The sequence below is a fragment of the Homo sapiens genome, chromosome 10 (assembly GCF_000001405.40).
Source record: "Homo sapiens chromosome 10, GRCh38.p14 Primary Assembly".
Classification (NCBI taxonomy): Eukaryota; Metazoa; Chordata; class Mammalia; order Primates; family Hominidae; genus Homo; species Homo sapiens.
In genome coordinates this window covers 75,367,764-75,383,885 of record NC_000010.11, presented here as the reverse complement: position 1 = coordinate 75,383,885, position 16,122 = coordinate 75,367,764, and the positions used below count along the sequence as shown (strand labels likewise).

At 47.0% G+C, this 16,122-nt stretch overlaps 1 protein-coding gene and 1 pseudogene across 1 annotated transcript in view, besides 1 other annotated feature; both read left to right on the top strand.

Moving 5' to 3' along the window:
* ZNF503 (zinc finger protein 503) overlaps nucleotides 1–16,122 on the top strand; it is a 122,192-nt gene that overhangs the window by 18,031 nt on the left and 88,039 nt on the right. The window lies entirely within an intron of this gene.
* Nucleotides 203–1,402: an enhancer, noted in NCBI's record as "BRD4-independent group 4 enhancer chr10:77142242-77143441 (GRCh37/hg19 assembly coordinates)". NCBI's record gives its function as "activates an origin of replication core promoter dependent on BRD2, P300/CBP, MED14 and CDK7 cofactors, and independent of BRD4, by STARR-seq in HCT116 cells {active_cell/tissue: HCT116}" and the evidence as "EXISTENCE:reporter gene assay evidence [ECO:0000049][PMID:35650434]".
* SPA17P1 (sperm autoantigenic protein 17 pseudogene 1) lies at nucleotides 976–1,669 on the top strand (annotated as a pseudogene).

The window sequence follows — 16,122 nt, the reverse complement described above, 5'->3', positions numbered from 1 at the left end:
CAATAGATCAATTAAATAGCCAACAGACTGCCAGACCAATGACTGATGGACACAGACTGGCAGCTGCCCTGGTTCAGGACAGGGTTTGTACCTGGTGTCTGTTTATCCCCACTAACTTAGCACAGGGCTGGCTCATTCAGGTTCAGTGAATGGCTGATCAATGAACAGATAGCAAATGAAATGGCGGAGTAAGAAGTATCTGAGCACCTGGCCAAGGGCAGAAGCATGTGACTGGTTAGTTGATTTAACTACCGAAGAGCTGATTGAGTGACTAAGTGACCAGGAGACTGAGCGGCTGAGTCACAAAGTGACTCCAAGATTGCCTGGGTGAGGGTATGACTGGGCGGCCCACAGAGCTCAGGAAATGCTGGGGTCTGAGGGGCAGAGATTGCAGTCACCAAGACATGTTCTGGTGGGATGACCTCTGCCCTGGTCTCCCAGGACCCTGGAGGTCTGAAAATCCTAGAAAAGAAAGCAGAAGTGGGGGGAAACTCAGGCAAGAGGAGCTGGAGCCTTAGAGGAAGAGGATTGGACCTGTGGTAGACATCAGGAGGAATGGGGGCTGAGGAGCACCCTAGAATAGAGTTTTCTGCTCAGAAAATTCTGGTTTTTCCCCAGCCCTAGATGGATGGGTGCTCTGTCAAGAGGCTGCAAGGTGTGTGCTGGGATGGGGAAGAATCCGTTTGAGAAAAATCATGAGGACTCATGTGTAAAAGCCCAACCTTCTCCCAGGTTACACAATGAGGACCATGGGCCCCTCGGGCTTCCAACCCAGTGTCCTGACATCAAGAGCAAGTCAAGAGCTGCAGCCACAGCTGAACCTTCAACCAGAGAATCCAGAGCAGTGTGTTAGGAAGCCTAGGGGAAGAAAGGCAGATATCAGTAAGAAGGATGCAGGCTGGACAGTGCTGGTCCTGAATTGCCCCGGAAGAGAGAGATCATGCATCCCTAGAACATGAGGTCAGAGGAGGAAGTAAGCTGGACCAGCGGCACCAGCTCCCAGAGAAAGAGGAGGCTCCATAGGCAGTTCTTACCAAGAGGATGTCGATTCCATTCTCCAATACCCACTACTGAATTCTGCAAGGATTTGGGAGTCTTCTTAAAGAGCTGACCCACGAGATTCTGAGAGAGCAACCAGATAATATACAGCTTTTGCAGCAGCATATTTTGACAGCTTTCCAGAGAAAAGAGAGAAAACCACTTTTGATCCAGCAGAATGGGGGACTCAGGTAGAAGACTGCTTCTAGAACAGTCATGCATTCGAGGAGCAAGAACCACCTGAGAAATGTGATCCTAAACAAGAAAACTCTCCAATATCTGGGAAGGAGAAAGAGACACCAGTCACCATCTTAGACTCTTCTGAGGAAGATAAGGAAAAAGAAGAGGTTGCTGCTGTCAAAATCCAGGCTGCCTTCTGGGGACACACAGCCAGAGAGGAGGTAAAGAGAATGGAAACAGATAGTCTCCGACATGAGGAAACAGAGGAATACAAGTTGAGGACACTGCTTTTACCTCCAGGAAACATGAAAAATAATCCAAATCCATCAGCCTTGTTGTTGTTCCCATTTTTTCCTTAGTAAGGAAGATTTGATGTTGTGAAATAACATTTGTTGCTGTTGTGAAAATCTGTCATGAGCATTTGTTTAATTAAACATACCACTGAAACATGAAAAAAAAGTATGACTCCCTCATACTTTAAGGGAGTATTTGACTACCACCATTTTGGCTCATGGCTGAACTGAATTATGGGTTTGTTTATTAGAATTAGGTTCTGTAGGCTGGGTGTGGTGGCTCAGGCCTATAATCTCAGCACTTTGGGAGGCCAAGGCAAGTGGATCACTTGAGGTCAAGAGTTCAAGACTAGCCTGGCCAACATGGTAAAACCCTGTCTCTACCAAAACAAATACAAAAATTAGTTGAGCACGGTGGCTTATGCCTGTAGTCTCAGCTACTCGGGAGGCTTAGATGGGAGAATCACTTGAACCCAGGAAGCAGAGGTTGCAGTGAGCAGAGATTGTGCCCAGCCTGAGCCACCAAGTGAGACCGTCTCAAAAAAAAAAAAAAAAAAAAAAAAAAAAAAGAATTAGGTTCTGTGGCAAGTGACAGAAAATGAAAATAACTCTTTATCCATTTGTCCCCCCACTGCACACACACATATACACACAATTGAAATCTGGAGGCAGCCCAGGATTGGCATGGCAAATTCATGAAGTTATCAGAGACTCAAAGTTCTATTTTGTTGCTCCACTATCCTCTTCACATGGTCCATACTGGTTGCATGAGTGCCAGCTATCACATCTCCCTCTCAGCCAACAGGAATAAGAAGAGAAAAGTGTACCCCTTCCCTTTAAGAACACATCCCAGGCCACACACAGTGGCTCATGCCTGTAATCCCAGAACTTTGGAAGTTTGAGGTGGGGGATTCAAAGCTAGGAGCTTGACACCAGCCTGGGCAACATAGTGAGATCTCATCTCTACAAAAATTACCAAAAAAAATTAGCCAGGCATGGTGGCGTGTGCCTGTAGTCCCAGCTACTGGGGAAGTTGAGTACGAGGATTGCTTAATCCTGGGAGGTTGAGGCTGCAGTGACCTGTGATGGCACCACTGCACTTCAGCCTAGACAACAGAGCAAGACCCTGTCTCAAAACAAAACAAAACAAAACAAACAAACAAAAATTACACACGCACATCCCAGAAGTTGCCACAACAGTTCCTCTTACATCTTATTGGCCAGAATTCGGTCACAAGACCCATCTAGCTACAAGAGAGGCTAGATAATGTAGTCTTTATTTTGTTAAAATCAATTACAAATCAGGGTTTCATTACAGGAAAAAGAAGGAATGGAGATTGGAGGGCCTGGATTTCTTTCCAGGTTGGAGTGAGCGTGTGGGATTTTCATAAAGAAACTATAATTTCAGCTGCACTGAATAATTCCCGCGAATGCCATGATGCAATTCGAGGTCTGTATGGCCACTGCCATAAGGGGATCATGATGGGTTCTTTTTAGTGGGTGCAGGCACTTGAGGGCCAAGTCTGAAGTTCAGACATAAAATTGCATGGAACTTTGAAACAATATTACCTCTTCTGCAGAATTTTCAGGGGCCACATTTTTTCCCCTTTGTCTCTTGGTATTTTAGGGACATTCTGAGCTGAGATGCAGAGAAGCCACCTTTGCTCTTTGACATGATTGCATTCTATTTCCAAAGGCGGAATCTCGAGGAAGCAGTTTCATATCCTCTTTGATTTTGCTCAGTGCAAAACCTTACTAAAGTTTCCACTCAAGACCTGGCCTCAGTGCTTCTCATTATTGCTGATCTTAAATCCTTCCCAGACAGGGCCCATTCGGGGTTATGGGCTTTAATTCTGGAGTCAGAAGCAAAAATCCTGAAAATGTGCCCTCCTCACCCTGAGTCATTAGAGCCTGCTTCAGTGGCCTATAGGTACCGTGCTGAGCTCCAGGGCCCCATTGTCTGGGTTCAAACTCCAGCTCTGTAGCTGGCTGGCTCTGTGACCTTGGGCATGTTGCTCCCTGAGCCTCAGTTTCCTCATCTGTAACATAGGATGAGAATAATGGTCCCAACTTCCCAGGGTTATGTAACTGGGGAGAACGGGACCTGGAAGGTGGTAAGCGCTCTAAACCTCTTAGGTATTCCGGAAATGAAGACAGTCATTTCAGGCCTGTGTTAAATCTGCCTCCGCAGTCTTCCAAGGGGTAAGTAGCCCTGCCTTTTCCATCTCTGTTGTTCTTCCCTCTCCCTCATGCACTGAAGGGAGAGTCTCTACTGCCAGGTCAGTCTGGGCACAGGTTTGGCATAGAGTGAGCAGGTCTGGTTCACACACTTCTATTCTAACCCATGTTACCAGACACTCTATTCCTTCCACTTCAGCCACTTCCCACCCAGAGGTGCTGAGCAGGCCATGCTGTGGGTGTGTGGCGTGCACCCCCTCCCACCCCGCCTGGAAGAAGCACGTGATGAGGACCCCCTGCCCACCTTGCATTTGGATGGCCTCTCTCCTGCAACAAAGAATCACAGGACAAAAATGAAATTTGCGTCCACGCTTCCCTCTGGTTCCTCGAGTGTCACTTTTCTGCATATTTATGATAATCATACCTGCAACAAAAACAGTGACTTCACTGTCTAAATAATAAGGTAATTTGTTACAGCTAATTACTCAAGGACTTCCTTAATCTCACTCAATTAAAAGATCCAAGAGGATTCCTTCCCCCTCTCATTCCAGTGTTCCTGAAGATCCGCCTAATGTATTCTGGATCACAGATTAGTGGGGAGCCAAGAACAGTCCGTGCTGGGCAGAACTGCTAAAATCCATCCCAGCAACGTGAAGCAGTGATTTATTGTGACATGGAATGTGGGACATTTCCCCAGCTTTTGTGATTGTGGTAATGAAGCTGTAAACCAAATAGCATGAAATGAGGCAAGGCCTTACAATTTAATCAGCTCGTAAACAGATCTACTGCATCAAGCAAATGACATTATTATCCATCCGAAGTAAATCATGCTAATCTCGGGAGATAAAATCAACATCGTTAATGGTCACATGTCATATTCATCAACACTAAACCATCCCCTTTGACAGATTAATCCTAACTACAGCTCCCAGGATGTATGGTAATAGGGCTCGTAGCATGCATTTCACTCCGCGCCAGGCTAACCAGCACTCTTAGGCTGCTATTACAAATAATTTTTTTATTGATTTACATATTTTAAAATGCATTTAAGGTGAGGCACCATTAAATACCCTGTCACCCGCCCATATTTCTTTCCTACATTCCCAGACTTTATTAATAGGAACGGGAGGACAAACACAGTAAGCCTTATAAATACTTTGTTTAGGGCACTGTTAGGGGTAATTAAGATCGGGACTGGGGTTTGGGGGGTGTGGAGAGGCACAGGTGAGGAACAGACAGGGTGGTAGGAAACAGGGACCTTCTTGTGGTTCAGGAATAAAGGAAATTGCAGCTTCTTTTGCTTCCTGTTTTCCCTAGAGGTGCCAGGAAGAAAGAGAATAAATTGCCCCCAAAATCTGCTTGTGGGGCCTTCCCTCTTTCCCTTTCTGTCACATCCTATGTCCACCCCATCAACTCAGCCTTATGGTGTGTGCATCTGTGCTTGTGTTCTGGTCCCTGTATCCTGCCTGCTGACTTCAAACTCCAAATGTATTTATTTATCACGAGGCTGACCTAGGATGAATGCTCCCAGAAAGTGTCCACTATTCAAAATGTCACTTCCCCTCAACAGGCCATGCATTATATTGACAGGCATACTTTCAGAGGCCTCTGAATGATGAGGATGGATGGAGGGCTGCCACAGCAGAGGCACTGCTGCCTGGGCTGAGGGAGGGAGGGAGGAGAGAGTGGGTCATGGATAAGTGCGGAGTGGGTGGGTACCCAGATTATCTACACCCTCCCCCAGGAAGCATAAGCCATGGGAGCTGAGGCAGTGACCAGAGATGCAATCTGGAGACCACCAGGGCTGTGGTGCTTGGTGGGGAGCAGATAGTGGCCTACCTTCGCCCAGCCATCCTTCTGATGGGCACATTTGAGGAGCTTCCTGCCCATCTGTGAAGCCAGTTGGGGATGGGGGTTGGAAAAGAAGGGGTTGTCCTTTTTCTGAGTGACAGCAAGGAGGGTAGGGGTCTGATATGGTTTGGATCTGTGTCCTCACCCAAATCTCATGTTGAAATGTAATCCCCAGTGCTGGAGGTGGGGCCTGGTGGGAGGTGATAGGATCATGAGGGTGGTTTCTCATGGCTTAACACCATCCTCCCCGGCCTCCCCTGCCTGGTGCTGTCCTCGAGATAGTGAATTCTCATGAGATCTCACTATCTCATGAGACAGTTGTTTAAAAGTGTGTGGAACCTCCCTCCTCTCTCTCTTCCTCCTGTTCTGGCCATGTAAGATGTACCTGCTTACCCTTCAACTTCCACCATGATCGAAAGTTTCCTGAGGCCTCCCCAGAAACAGAAGCTGCTATGCTTCCTGTGCAGCCTGTAAAACTGTGAGCCAATAAAACTCCTTTTCTTTATACATTACCCACTCTTAGGCATTTCTTTATAGCAATGCAAGAATGGACTAACACAGTGTTCTGGGACCATCATGTGTGGCCATGCAGACCTCGCATTGCACAATGGTATTCCCTGCAATTACTCCATGCAGCAACCCTGGGATTACAGTTTCTTTACAAAAGTCCCACATGCCCACTTCAACCTGGATAGAAATGAGGGAAGCAGATGGATTCCCCAAAAGGACCTATTGAACTCAATAGAGGCACCTCTCTTGATGCACTAAAAAGACCCCACCTCGGCTTACATGGACTGAGGTAGAACTCAGATGCTTCCAGACACCCCATGCATGTGTCATATAGCCCACCAACTGCCATGATTTATTTCAGAATGGGACCCTGAAAAACTCCCCAGCCCAGGTCTGTGTTTTATAAAATTGCAGCTATGGATTAGACCAACGAATGAAATGAAGCAGAGAGTAAATTAACTCCAGGGTTTAGGTGGTGACAAGTTCAAGTGGTTGGAACCCACTGAGCTCTATAAGAAACTCTGGAGATTTTGTGCCCTGGGCTTTCCATGATCCTTCCTAAGAGCCCTGGAGGTTACCTTGTCACTGGGCGCCTGAAAGGCCCAGGAAAGGCCCTTCTCTGGAGCTGCGTAGTCTGAGTTAGTGTGGTTGAGGGCAGTGGTTCCCAAACTTTAGCCTGAGTCACAACGTCCTGAGGGCTTGTGAAGACACAGATTGCTGGGCCCACCCCCAGAGTCTCTTATTCAGTAGGTCTGGGGTGAATCTAGAGGGTTTGCATTTCTAGCAAGCACCCAGGTGATGCTGATGTTGCTGGTCCCAGAACCACACTTTGAGAACACCTGATATAGTTTGGCTCTGTATCCCCACCCAAATCTCACTTTGAATTGTAATAATCCCCACATGTCAAGGGCAGGACCAGGTGGAGATAATTGAATCATGGGGCGGTTCCCCCATGCTGTTCTCGTGACAGTGAGTGAGTTCTCACTGAAGATCTGATGGTTTTATAAGGAGCTTCCCCCTTCGCCTGAGTGAAGGCATGCATTCTCTCTTCTGCCACCCTGTGAAGAGATGTCTTCCGTCATGATTGTAAGATTCCTGAGGCCTCCCCAGCCACGCAGAATTGTGAGTCAATTAAACCTCTCTCAGGTATTAAACCAGTCTCAGGTTTTTTTGTTTTTGTTTTTGTTTTTTTTTGAGACAGTCTCCCTCTGTCACCCAGGCTGGAGTACAGTAGCATCATCTCGGCTCACTGCATCCTCCACCTCCCAGGTTCAAGCAATTCTCATGCCTCAGCCTCCTAACTAGCTGGAAATACAGGTGCGTGCCACCACACCTGGCTAATTTTTGTATTTTTCGTAGAGACAGGGTTTCGCCATGTTGGCCAGGCTGGTCTCGAACTCCTGACCTCAAGTGATCCGCCTACCTCAGCATCCCAAAGTGCTAGGATTACAGGCATGAACCACCATGCCCAGTCTCAGGTATTTCTTCATAGCAGCATGAGAATGGACTAATATGACACCTAAGCCAGAGAGGGGTGGTGGGGCAAGGAAGGAGGTGTAGGTGGGAAACATTGGGCTCCCAGGCACAGATTACAAGCCCAGAGTTGGGTCATGGCAGGAAGCAGAGGCCAGAACACCTAGTGATGTCAGCAGTGGGACTTCCACATCTCTGAGGCCTTTCCTCTTTTAAGTTCCTGGCACTTCTTAAGAGCAAGTGAGCAAAGCAGGCCTGATAATCCAAGGTCCAGAACCCCAGAGTCAGGACTGAAAGCAGCATGTATTCTGGAGGCTAGAGATGGCTGATTCTAGCCCTAGCCTCACTTCTGATCTGCCTTGTGACGTGCAGTACCTCCGGTTCCCACTCTGGGGTTCCCTCTCTCACTTCTCACTTCCTCCTCTGTGAAGAGGATGTAGAGCACTAGATTTCCTCCAGAATCCCTTGCATTTCAGATAGTGAGGTTATGCCACTGTTTCCCAAAGCATACTCTGTGGATCCTTTACTCACCTTGAAAAATGGGTTCCGCGGGCTCAGTGGCTCATGTATGTAATCCCAGCAGTTTGGAAGGCTGAGGTGGGCAGATCACTTGAGGCCAGGAGTTCAAGACCAGCCTGGCCAAAATGGCAAAACCCAGTCTCTACTGAAAATACAAAAATTAGCCGGGTGTGGTGGCATGGGCCTGTAATCTCAGCTACTACAGAGGCTGAGACATGAGAATCTCTTGAACCCAGGAGGTGGAGGTTGCAGTGAGCTGAGACTGTGCCACTGCACTCCAGCCTAGGGGACAGAGCAAGACTCTGTCTCAAAAAGAAAAGGAAAAAGAAAGATGGATTCCATGGTCAGATAGTTTGGAAAACTTTTCAAAACATAAGCCCCCATTTGGACTTATAACTTATATTTACATATGAAAGCCTCTGGGCTGGGTACGGTAGCTCATGCCTGTAAATCCCAGCACTTTGGGAGGCTGAGACAGGCAGATCACGAGGTCAGGAGATCAAGACCATCCTGGCTAACACGGTGAAACCCCTTCTCTACTAAAAATACAAAAAAATTAGCCAGGTGTGGTGGCATGTGCCTGTAGTCCCAGCTACTCAGGAGGCTGAGGCAGGAGAATCGCTTGAACTCGGGAGGCAGGGGTTGCAGTGAGCTGAGATTGCACCACTGCACTCCAGCCTGGGCAACACAGCAAGACTCCATTTTAAAAAAAGAGGGGTGCTCTGAAAAATCCTGGAGTTGGGAAACTTGTTTAACTTCACTTAATCCTTCCCAAACTCATTGGATCACAGCCTTTTTTCCACTTGCCAGGGACCAATCTGGCCACCGAGCAGCTAATAGAGAGATAGTGGGGCAATGGCTCCTGCCCTCAAGAAGCTCCTGGTTGGGGTGGCAGGAGAGATCCTAGGTACTGCCTTGGCCTGGCACAAACTTTAGATTCTAGCCAAGCTTGGGGACTTTTATCCCTCCTTTTCCAAGGGCTGGTATCAATTTTCCCTGGTTTCACTAGTGGATTTGCTTTGTTCAGTTTCACCTGCCTGTGAAGCATACAAACAGGCTCATTCATTCACTTAACAAAACATATTGTGCATGTATTTCACGCCAGATGCTGTTGTAGGTACTGGGAGACAGTAGACTGTCCTCTCTTCCAATGGAGAAAGACAAGCAGTGAATAAAGAAACCACACGGCATGTTGGATGGTGAGGAGTGCTGAAGTGGAGAGTTGGGATAGGCAGGGCTGGGGAGTTCTGCTATTTTTAATGGGGCAGGGGTGTCAGGAAAGGCCTCTCTGACCTTCGGGTAAGAATTTGAAGGAGAGGAGAGTGTGAGCTGGGTGGAAAGCTGTTCTAGGACAAGAGGGTGGCAAGTGCGAAGACCCCAGGTGGGAGTCCATCTGGTATGAGTGATGCACAGCTAGAGGCTGATGTGGCTGGAGAAAATAAGAGGTTTAGTTGCAGAAAAGGGTCAGAAAGACAGGAAGCCGTGGGAACAGTGGACGTGACTTACTTTGTTTTTTGTTTGTTTGTTTTTTTGTTGTTGTTGGAGATGGAGTCTCGCTCTGTGGCCCAGGGTAGAGGGCAGTGGCGTGATCTTGGCTCACTGCAACCTCCATCTCCCAGGTTCAAGCGATTCTCCCACCTCGTAGTTGCATCCACAGTTGTGCACCACCATGGCCTGCTAATTGTTGTATTTTTAGTAGACTGGGTTTCACCATCTTGGCCAGGCTGGCATCAAACTCCTGGCCTCAAGTAATCCACCTGCCTCGGTCTCCCGAAGTGCTGGGGTCACAGACGTGAGCCACCGTGCCTGCCCATGACTTACCTTTTAATAGACCTTAAGTGACTTGCATTTTAGAGTATGCCAAGTCACTGTGGAGAGCCAAAGCCACAGGTCCCCTGGTGGGGGTCAGTTGGCCCTTCTGCTGCTGGCCACACCTGTCCTGGAATGATGTGTGGAAAGAGGGTGGGGATAGAGGGAGGTAAGGAGCTGGAGATGGGCAGGAAACTCTGAAAGCCAAACTTTCACACTTGTGTATTTCTACTTTGTGTCCCGCACTGTGCAAAGCCCATTCACTTATGAATTCTGAATTAACCCTATGAGATAGGAAATTCCTCTCCTTGTTTTGCATTTGAGAACCCTGTGGGTCAGAGGAGTTAATGGACTTGCGTAAGTCACCCAGCTCACCAGTGGCAGAACCCAGGGCTTCCAGATTCTGTCATTCCAGTGCCTCTCCCTCAGCCTCACACGGTCTGGTGTTGAGAACGGTGCGCAGAGTTTCCTTGGTCTCTAGGAAAGGGAGTCCCAGGTGGGTGAGTGACCACAGCCTTTAATGGAGGCTCCAGATATCCTGCGGGTTCCCAGAGTCTGCGAGGTGAGTGTCTTCGGTTGGAAAGATACACTGAGACAAGGAGGTACACGCAGGTTTATTGGGGAGTGCTCTCAGGAGATATATCTGTAAGGAAACTGAGAAGACAGGATTGGGCGGAGAGAAAATGACCCCAAATGTGGTTGCAACAGACACCTCATCCAGTCTTGCAGGATGCTCCAGAGTTGTCCTTAATTGAGACAAAGGGCTGGCCTTTGTGCCTCCATCTGCCAGTCACTGGCCACAGGCCACACAGATAGAGCCATAACTTTGGGCAAAGCAGTTCCCTGCAGCCAAGCGCAATGCCCAGTGAAGGGCTGAGCTGTTAGCCGTCCACAGGTGACAGTCGCGGAAGATGGCGAATACGTGCACGACCCTGAAGAGGGGCGGAGCTTGTGCGCCTTAAGAAGAGGTTCGTTTTTCCCAGTGTACAAAAGCAGATTGGCTCCTTCCCTTCCTTCCCCCAGCCTCCCTTCCTTCTTTCCTTCCTCTGGAAGGGAGGCACTGCATCTCTCTGGAAGGAAGCTCTCAAGGATACAGGGATGTACAAGAAAAGGTCTTTGCCTTCTCTGGGTCTCTGCCAGAGGCAAACCAAGGTGTGAATGAGAAAGTGCCCCAAGAGTCTAAGGGGGCTGTAATGGAAATGGGTTCAGGGTGCCATGGGGACCCAAAGAGGGCTCCAGTTGGGAAAATACCCCCTGAACTCTCCCAAACCTGAACACAATCCAGGAAACTCGGGCTTGGATTGGGGGTCGTTGCCCACAGTACATTAGCCTGATCTTGCAGTCAACTCTGAAAACACCGACCTACTCTTATCAAACCACAATAGATTTGTATTGAGTGCTCCCAGTGTTTGGGTTCAAACCATTAAACAATCCTGTCCCTGGTTGAGTAGATTTCCCAGCCACTCTGGCCACCCTGGCCAGGCTGAGCCTAGGGGTACAGTCGTTCATTGAGTCAGGCAGGTGCTTACAGAAAACCTGTGCACTACTTTGAACTGTTTTGATGCTGTGGTGGATACTGTCTCTGCTCTGGAGTGCCTGGCCCTTTAGTGGAGTAGACGAGCCCAATCACAATGCTCAGTACAAATGTCACTGAGTTACTTGTTCACCTCCCTCTCTGGACCACATCATTTTTTATTTTCTGAATCCAAGAGACTTGTGCTTCTGGGCACATAAGAGTCTGTCTTTCTACAGTGAACATGTGCTGCTTTTGTGTTAAGAAAAATACACAATAAAAACTTTTTAGGCCAGGCACAGTGGCTCACGCCTGTAATCCCAGCACTTTGGGAGGCTAAGGCGGGCTGATCACCTGAGGTCAGGAGTTCGAGACCAGCCTGGCCAACATGGTGAAACCCTGTCTCTACTAAAACTACAAAAATTAGCTGGGCAGTGGTAGCGGGCACCTGTAATCCCAGCTACTCGTGAGGCTGAGGAAGGGAGAATGGCTTGAACCCAGAAGGCGGAGGTTGCAATGAGCAGAGATTGTGCCACTGCACTCCAGCCTGGGCAACAGAGTGAGATTCTGTCTCAAAAACAAAACAATAACAAAAAACCCTCTTTTTAATTGAAAGATAGACTGAATGAGGCAGGCAGGCATGTTGAGCAGACAGTGGCAGAGGTAAGATGGTAGGTGTGGCAAGCCTTGAAAGCCAGGGGGAATATTCATGGTCTCCCAGGAGCAGCCTAAGGGAAATTACCTGGTCTGCTCAGAGACCACCCCACCCCTACCATCTCATCACTCCCATCATAGATTGGAGTATCTGCGGACTTAATACAATGGACTTCACCCCCACGTGCAGCAGATTGGTCCAGGGATGAATGCCTGATGGGCACCTACCTGATCCAAGCTGGGCCAATCACAAATGGCTTCAGGAATAAGGTGCTGAGACCCGAGAAAGAAGTCAGTCTGGCTCTGGGTGTGAAATCAAGGATGTATGAGAGTCTGAGAGCAGCCATGGTAGGCCGTATAGACTGAGGAGCAGGAAAAGATCTTTGGCAGTGACAGGAAAGGCTGAAGCAGGTGCAGAGAGAGAGAGAAGAGGTAGAGAGGGATCCAGTCAGCTCTGGAAACACCAACCCACTCTTGCCAAACCATGACAGATTTCTATTGAGTGCTCCCAGTGTTTGGGTTCAAACCATTGAACAATTCTGTCCCAGGCTGAGTGGCCTCCTGTATTCCCTCCTGAAGCCCTGCAGCCTTCCAGACCTTTCTTGATCCACATCTTAACCCTTAGATGGAGACTCTGTGGACCAGGGGTGCTGACTCAGCTTCTCTACAAGGAATTTTGGAGCTCCCTGGATGCTGTCTCCGCTCCAGGCACAGTGCCTCGGAGGCCAGTCCTGGTCCTCTCAGATCCTAACCTCTGAACCTCCCAGGTCCCCATTTGCTAGTCTTGGCAGTGAGATATTCTCTTACATCATTTTTACTTCTTTCCCTGGACCCTTTTTCCTGCCCCTCACTTTTCTCACTTTGAGCTAGGTTTCTAAAAGTCGAAAGCCAGGACATCTCTTTCTGCTGTCCTCTCTTCCTTGAGGCATCCAGCATAAAACAGCTTCACTTGAAGGGGTTGCAGGCTGGAGAGAGACAGAGAAGGAAGCAGCCAGAATTGTTAAAAATTAGTTAATAGTTCCAATGTATCTCACTGTAAAACAATGGGAATTTTTTTTTTTTTTTTTTTTTTTTTTTTTTTTTTTTTTTGAGATGGAGCCTCTCTTTTTCGCCCAGGCTGGAGTGCAGTGGCACAATCTTGGCTCACTGCAACCTCTGCCTCCCAGGTTCAAGCGATTCTCCTGCCTCAGCCTCCCGAGTAGTTAGGATTACAGGCATGCACCACCATGCCTAGCTAATTTTTGTATTTTTAGTAGAGACAGGGTTTCACCATGTTGGTCAGGCTGGTCTCAAACTCCTGACCTCATGATCCGTCTGCCTCGACCTTCCAAAGTGCTGGGATTACAGGCATGAGCCACCATGCCCGGCTGGGAATTTTTAAATGTAAAGCACCCCAGCCGCAGGATTCGGCCACAAGCACCTTCCCAGATGAGCATCCGTGTTTGTGAGGCCAGAATGTTAATGTGAAGATCACTCATTGATTTGTGTGCCAGAATAGATAGCCCACTATTTTCTTAAGAAAAATTATTGTCTTGCTGGCAGATTCTTTCCTGGCCCCTGCCCTGAAGGGGTAGGGTGGCCATTCATTTGCACAAGTCTTGGTTAGGCTTCTTCATTGTCATAAAAGACAGTCAACTTAACAGTATTAGCTTAGTGTTTTTAAAATTATTATAAACGTAAATACCTACTTATTAAAATGTTACAGAAATTAACTTAGAAGGTGGAAGTCTGTTGTACTCTAACCTCCCCAAGATAACCACTTCATTTTATTTATTTATTTATTTATTTATTTATTTATTTATTTATTTTGACATGTAGTCTCGTCCAGGCCAGAGTGCAGTGGTGCAATCCTGGCTCACCTCAACCTCCACCTCCCGGGTTCAAGCGATTCTCCTGTCTCAGCCTCCCGAGTAGCTGGAACTACAGGCACACACCACCACGCAAGGCTAATTTTTATATTTTTAGTAGAGACGAGGTTTCGCCATGTTGGCCAGGCTGGTCTCGAACTCCTGGCCTCAAGTGATCTGCCCACCTCGGCCTCCCAAAGTGCTGGGATTACAGGTGTTAGCCCGGCCACCAAGATAACTACTTCATATCTATCCAGATTCTCCCTTCATATCTTACTTCTTCAGTAACACTAATATGCTTCATTCTTTTTAACAAAACTGCATTGTTTTCTCAATTAGCTTTTCAAAAACTATTTTTTAAATCTAAAAGTGTAATTGTCTGTTCTCACGCTGCTATAAAGAATTGCCTGAGACTGGGTAATTTGTAAAGGAAAGAGATTTAATTGACTTACAGTTCCACATGGCTGGGGAGGCCTCAAGAAACTTACAATCATGGTGGAAGGGGAAGAAAACATGTCCTTCTTCACATAATGGCAGGAAGGAGAAGTGTGAGAGCCGAGTGAAGGGGGAAGCCCCTTATAAAACCATCAGATCTCATGAGAACTCACTTAGTATCACGAGAACAGCATGGGGGAAACCACCCCTATGATTCAATTATCTCCACCTTGTCATACCCTTAACCCATGGGGGTTATGACAATTCAAGATGAGATTTGGGTCTGGACACAGAGCCAAACCATATCAAAAAACAATACATAATTATAGTAAGGAGGGCTTGGATAAGCTATGAAATTCTCGCTCAAAGTTAAACACTTACCAATTTTTGTGTATCCTTCTAGAAATTTTCTATACCCGTGTTTTATTATTAATTTTTGATACAAGTGAGATCATACTATACCCACTGTTTTGCAACTTGCTTTTTCCCCCCACTTAATAATGTATCTTAAACAACCTTTCCTAACAGCGTGTAAAGTCTCCCTTGTTCCTATTGATGTTTGCATAGTATCCCACTATACAGATGTGCTGTAATTGATGTATTTAAATCCAATTCTCAGTCATATGGAATACCTGCATTCCAGTCTTTGACTGAAACTATAACCTTAAACTATCCGCTGTTCAGTTTCCAATAAAAGCAGAGCTGAAAGAATCACTTTGTATGGAGAATAATTTGGAGGTCAGGTTGGAGTTAGTCCTTGCACTTTTCCAGTATTAAAGTCTCACCCCTGAATGAAACCATCCATTAGTAAACCACTTATCTGATGCATATCTCCTGGATTTCCCAGAGAGTTGGCTTTGCCAGGTCATCCATTTCCAATGCAGGGATCTCTGTGAGCCTTACCCCTGCCTTAACTATGAGGGTTTGTGGAGGATGATGCCAGGTACATGATCCACATGAGGTCATGCAAAAGAACCTTGTTTCTGCTAAGAAGGTGGTCTGCTTTTTCTTTAAAAATTGCATAACATTTGTAAGTAATCATATGTCTTATTTTCCTTCTTTGCTTTGGCCTCCAGGAAGCCCAGAGCCAAAGTTTAGTAATTACATAAGATTTATCTGCATATCTGTTTACTATTCTTTCTCCTTTCATCTTATCTGTCTATTCCTTTCTATTCCTGGATCTTTAATGTTAAAGATCTTGATTTTTTATTTTTGAACCCTTCTCTTTCTATTTTGCAGAGATTTGTTATTCTTATTGGTACCCTTGAAAATCTGCTTATTTTTTAAACTTGCAGAATGAGCTGCAGAGCATTAGAAGAATAATTGTGGAAAATGCTTTTGGGGCATACCACTTTCTGCTCAAATGCCTGCTTCTCCCCTGTATTGTTGATGCAGAGAGGTTTGAAGGGCACCATGGAGACCACAGAGCTAGATAGGGCAGTGGGTAGCCTAAGAGGAATGATTTGTAGCTCAAGGACATGGGGTCAAAATTCATTTGAGGTGCCTGAACTCCCTCCTAGTGATGTGTGGGGACATTCCAGATGCTTATCGAGGTTCAATGCCCTAACTCGAGGTTTACTGGGCCTTCCCCAAGCCCAATAAGTGGCTCTTCCTTACAGGATTACTGCTCCTGGGATCAGCTTGGAAAAAGGCAGGGCCAAGCAGGACTTGAAATGCTTTCAGAATCAGAGCCAGGAAGGACCCTTGGGTCTTCCACTAAATAAGGGGGAGGTGTGGCAGTCCCCGAACCCTGTAGGTTAGATACTGTCCTGTCACCTTATGTGAGGAATGGCTGTGATAAAATAATAACCAGGAATAGTAG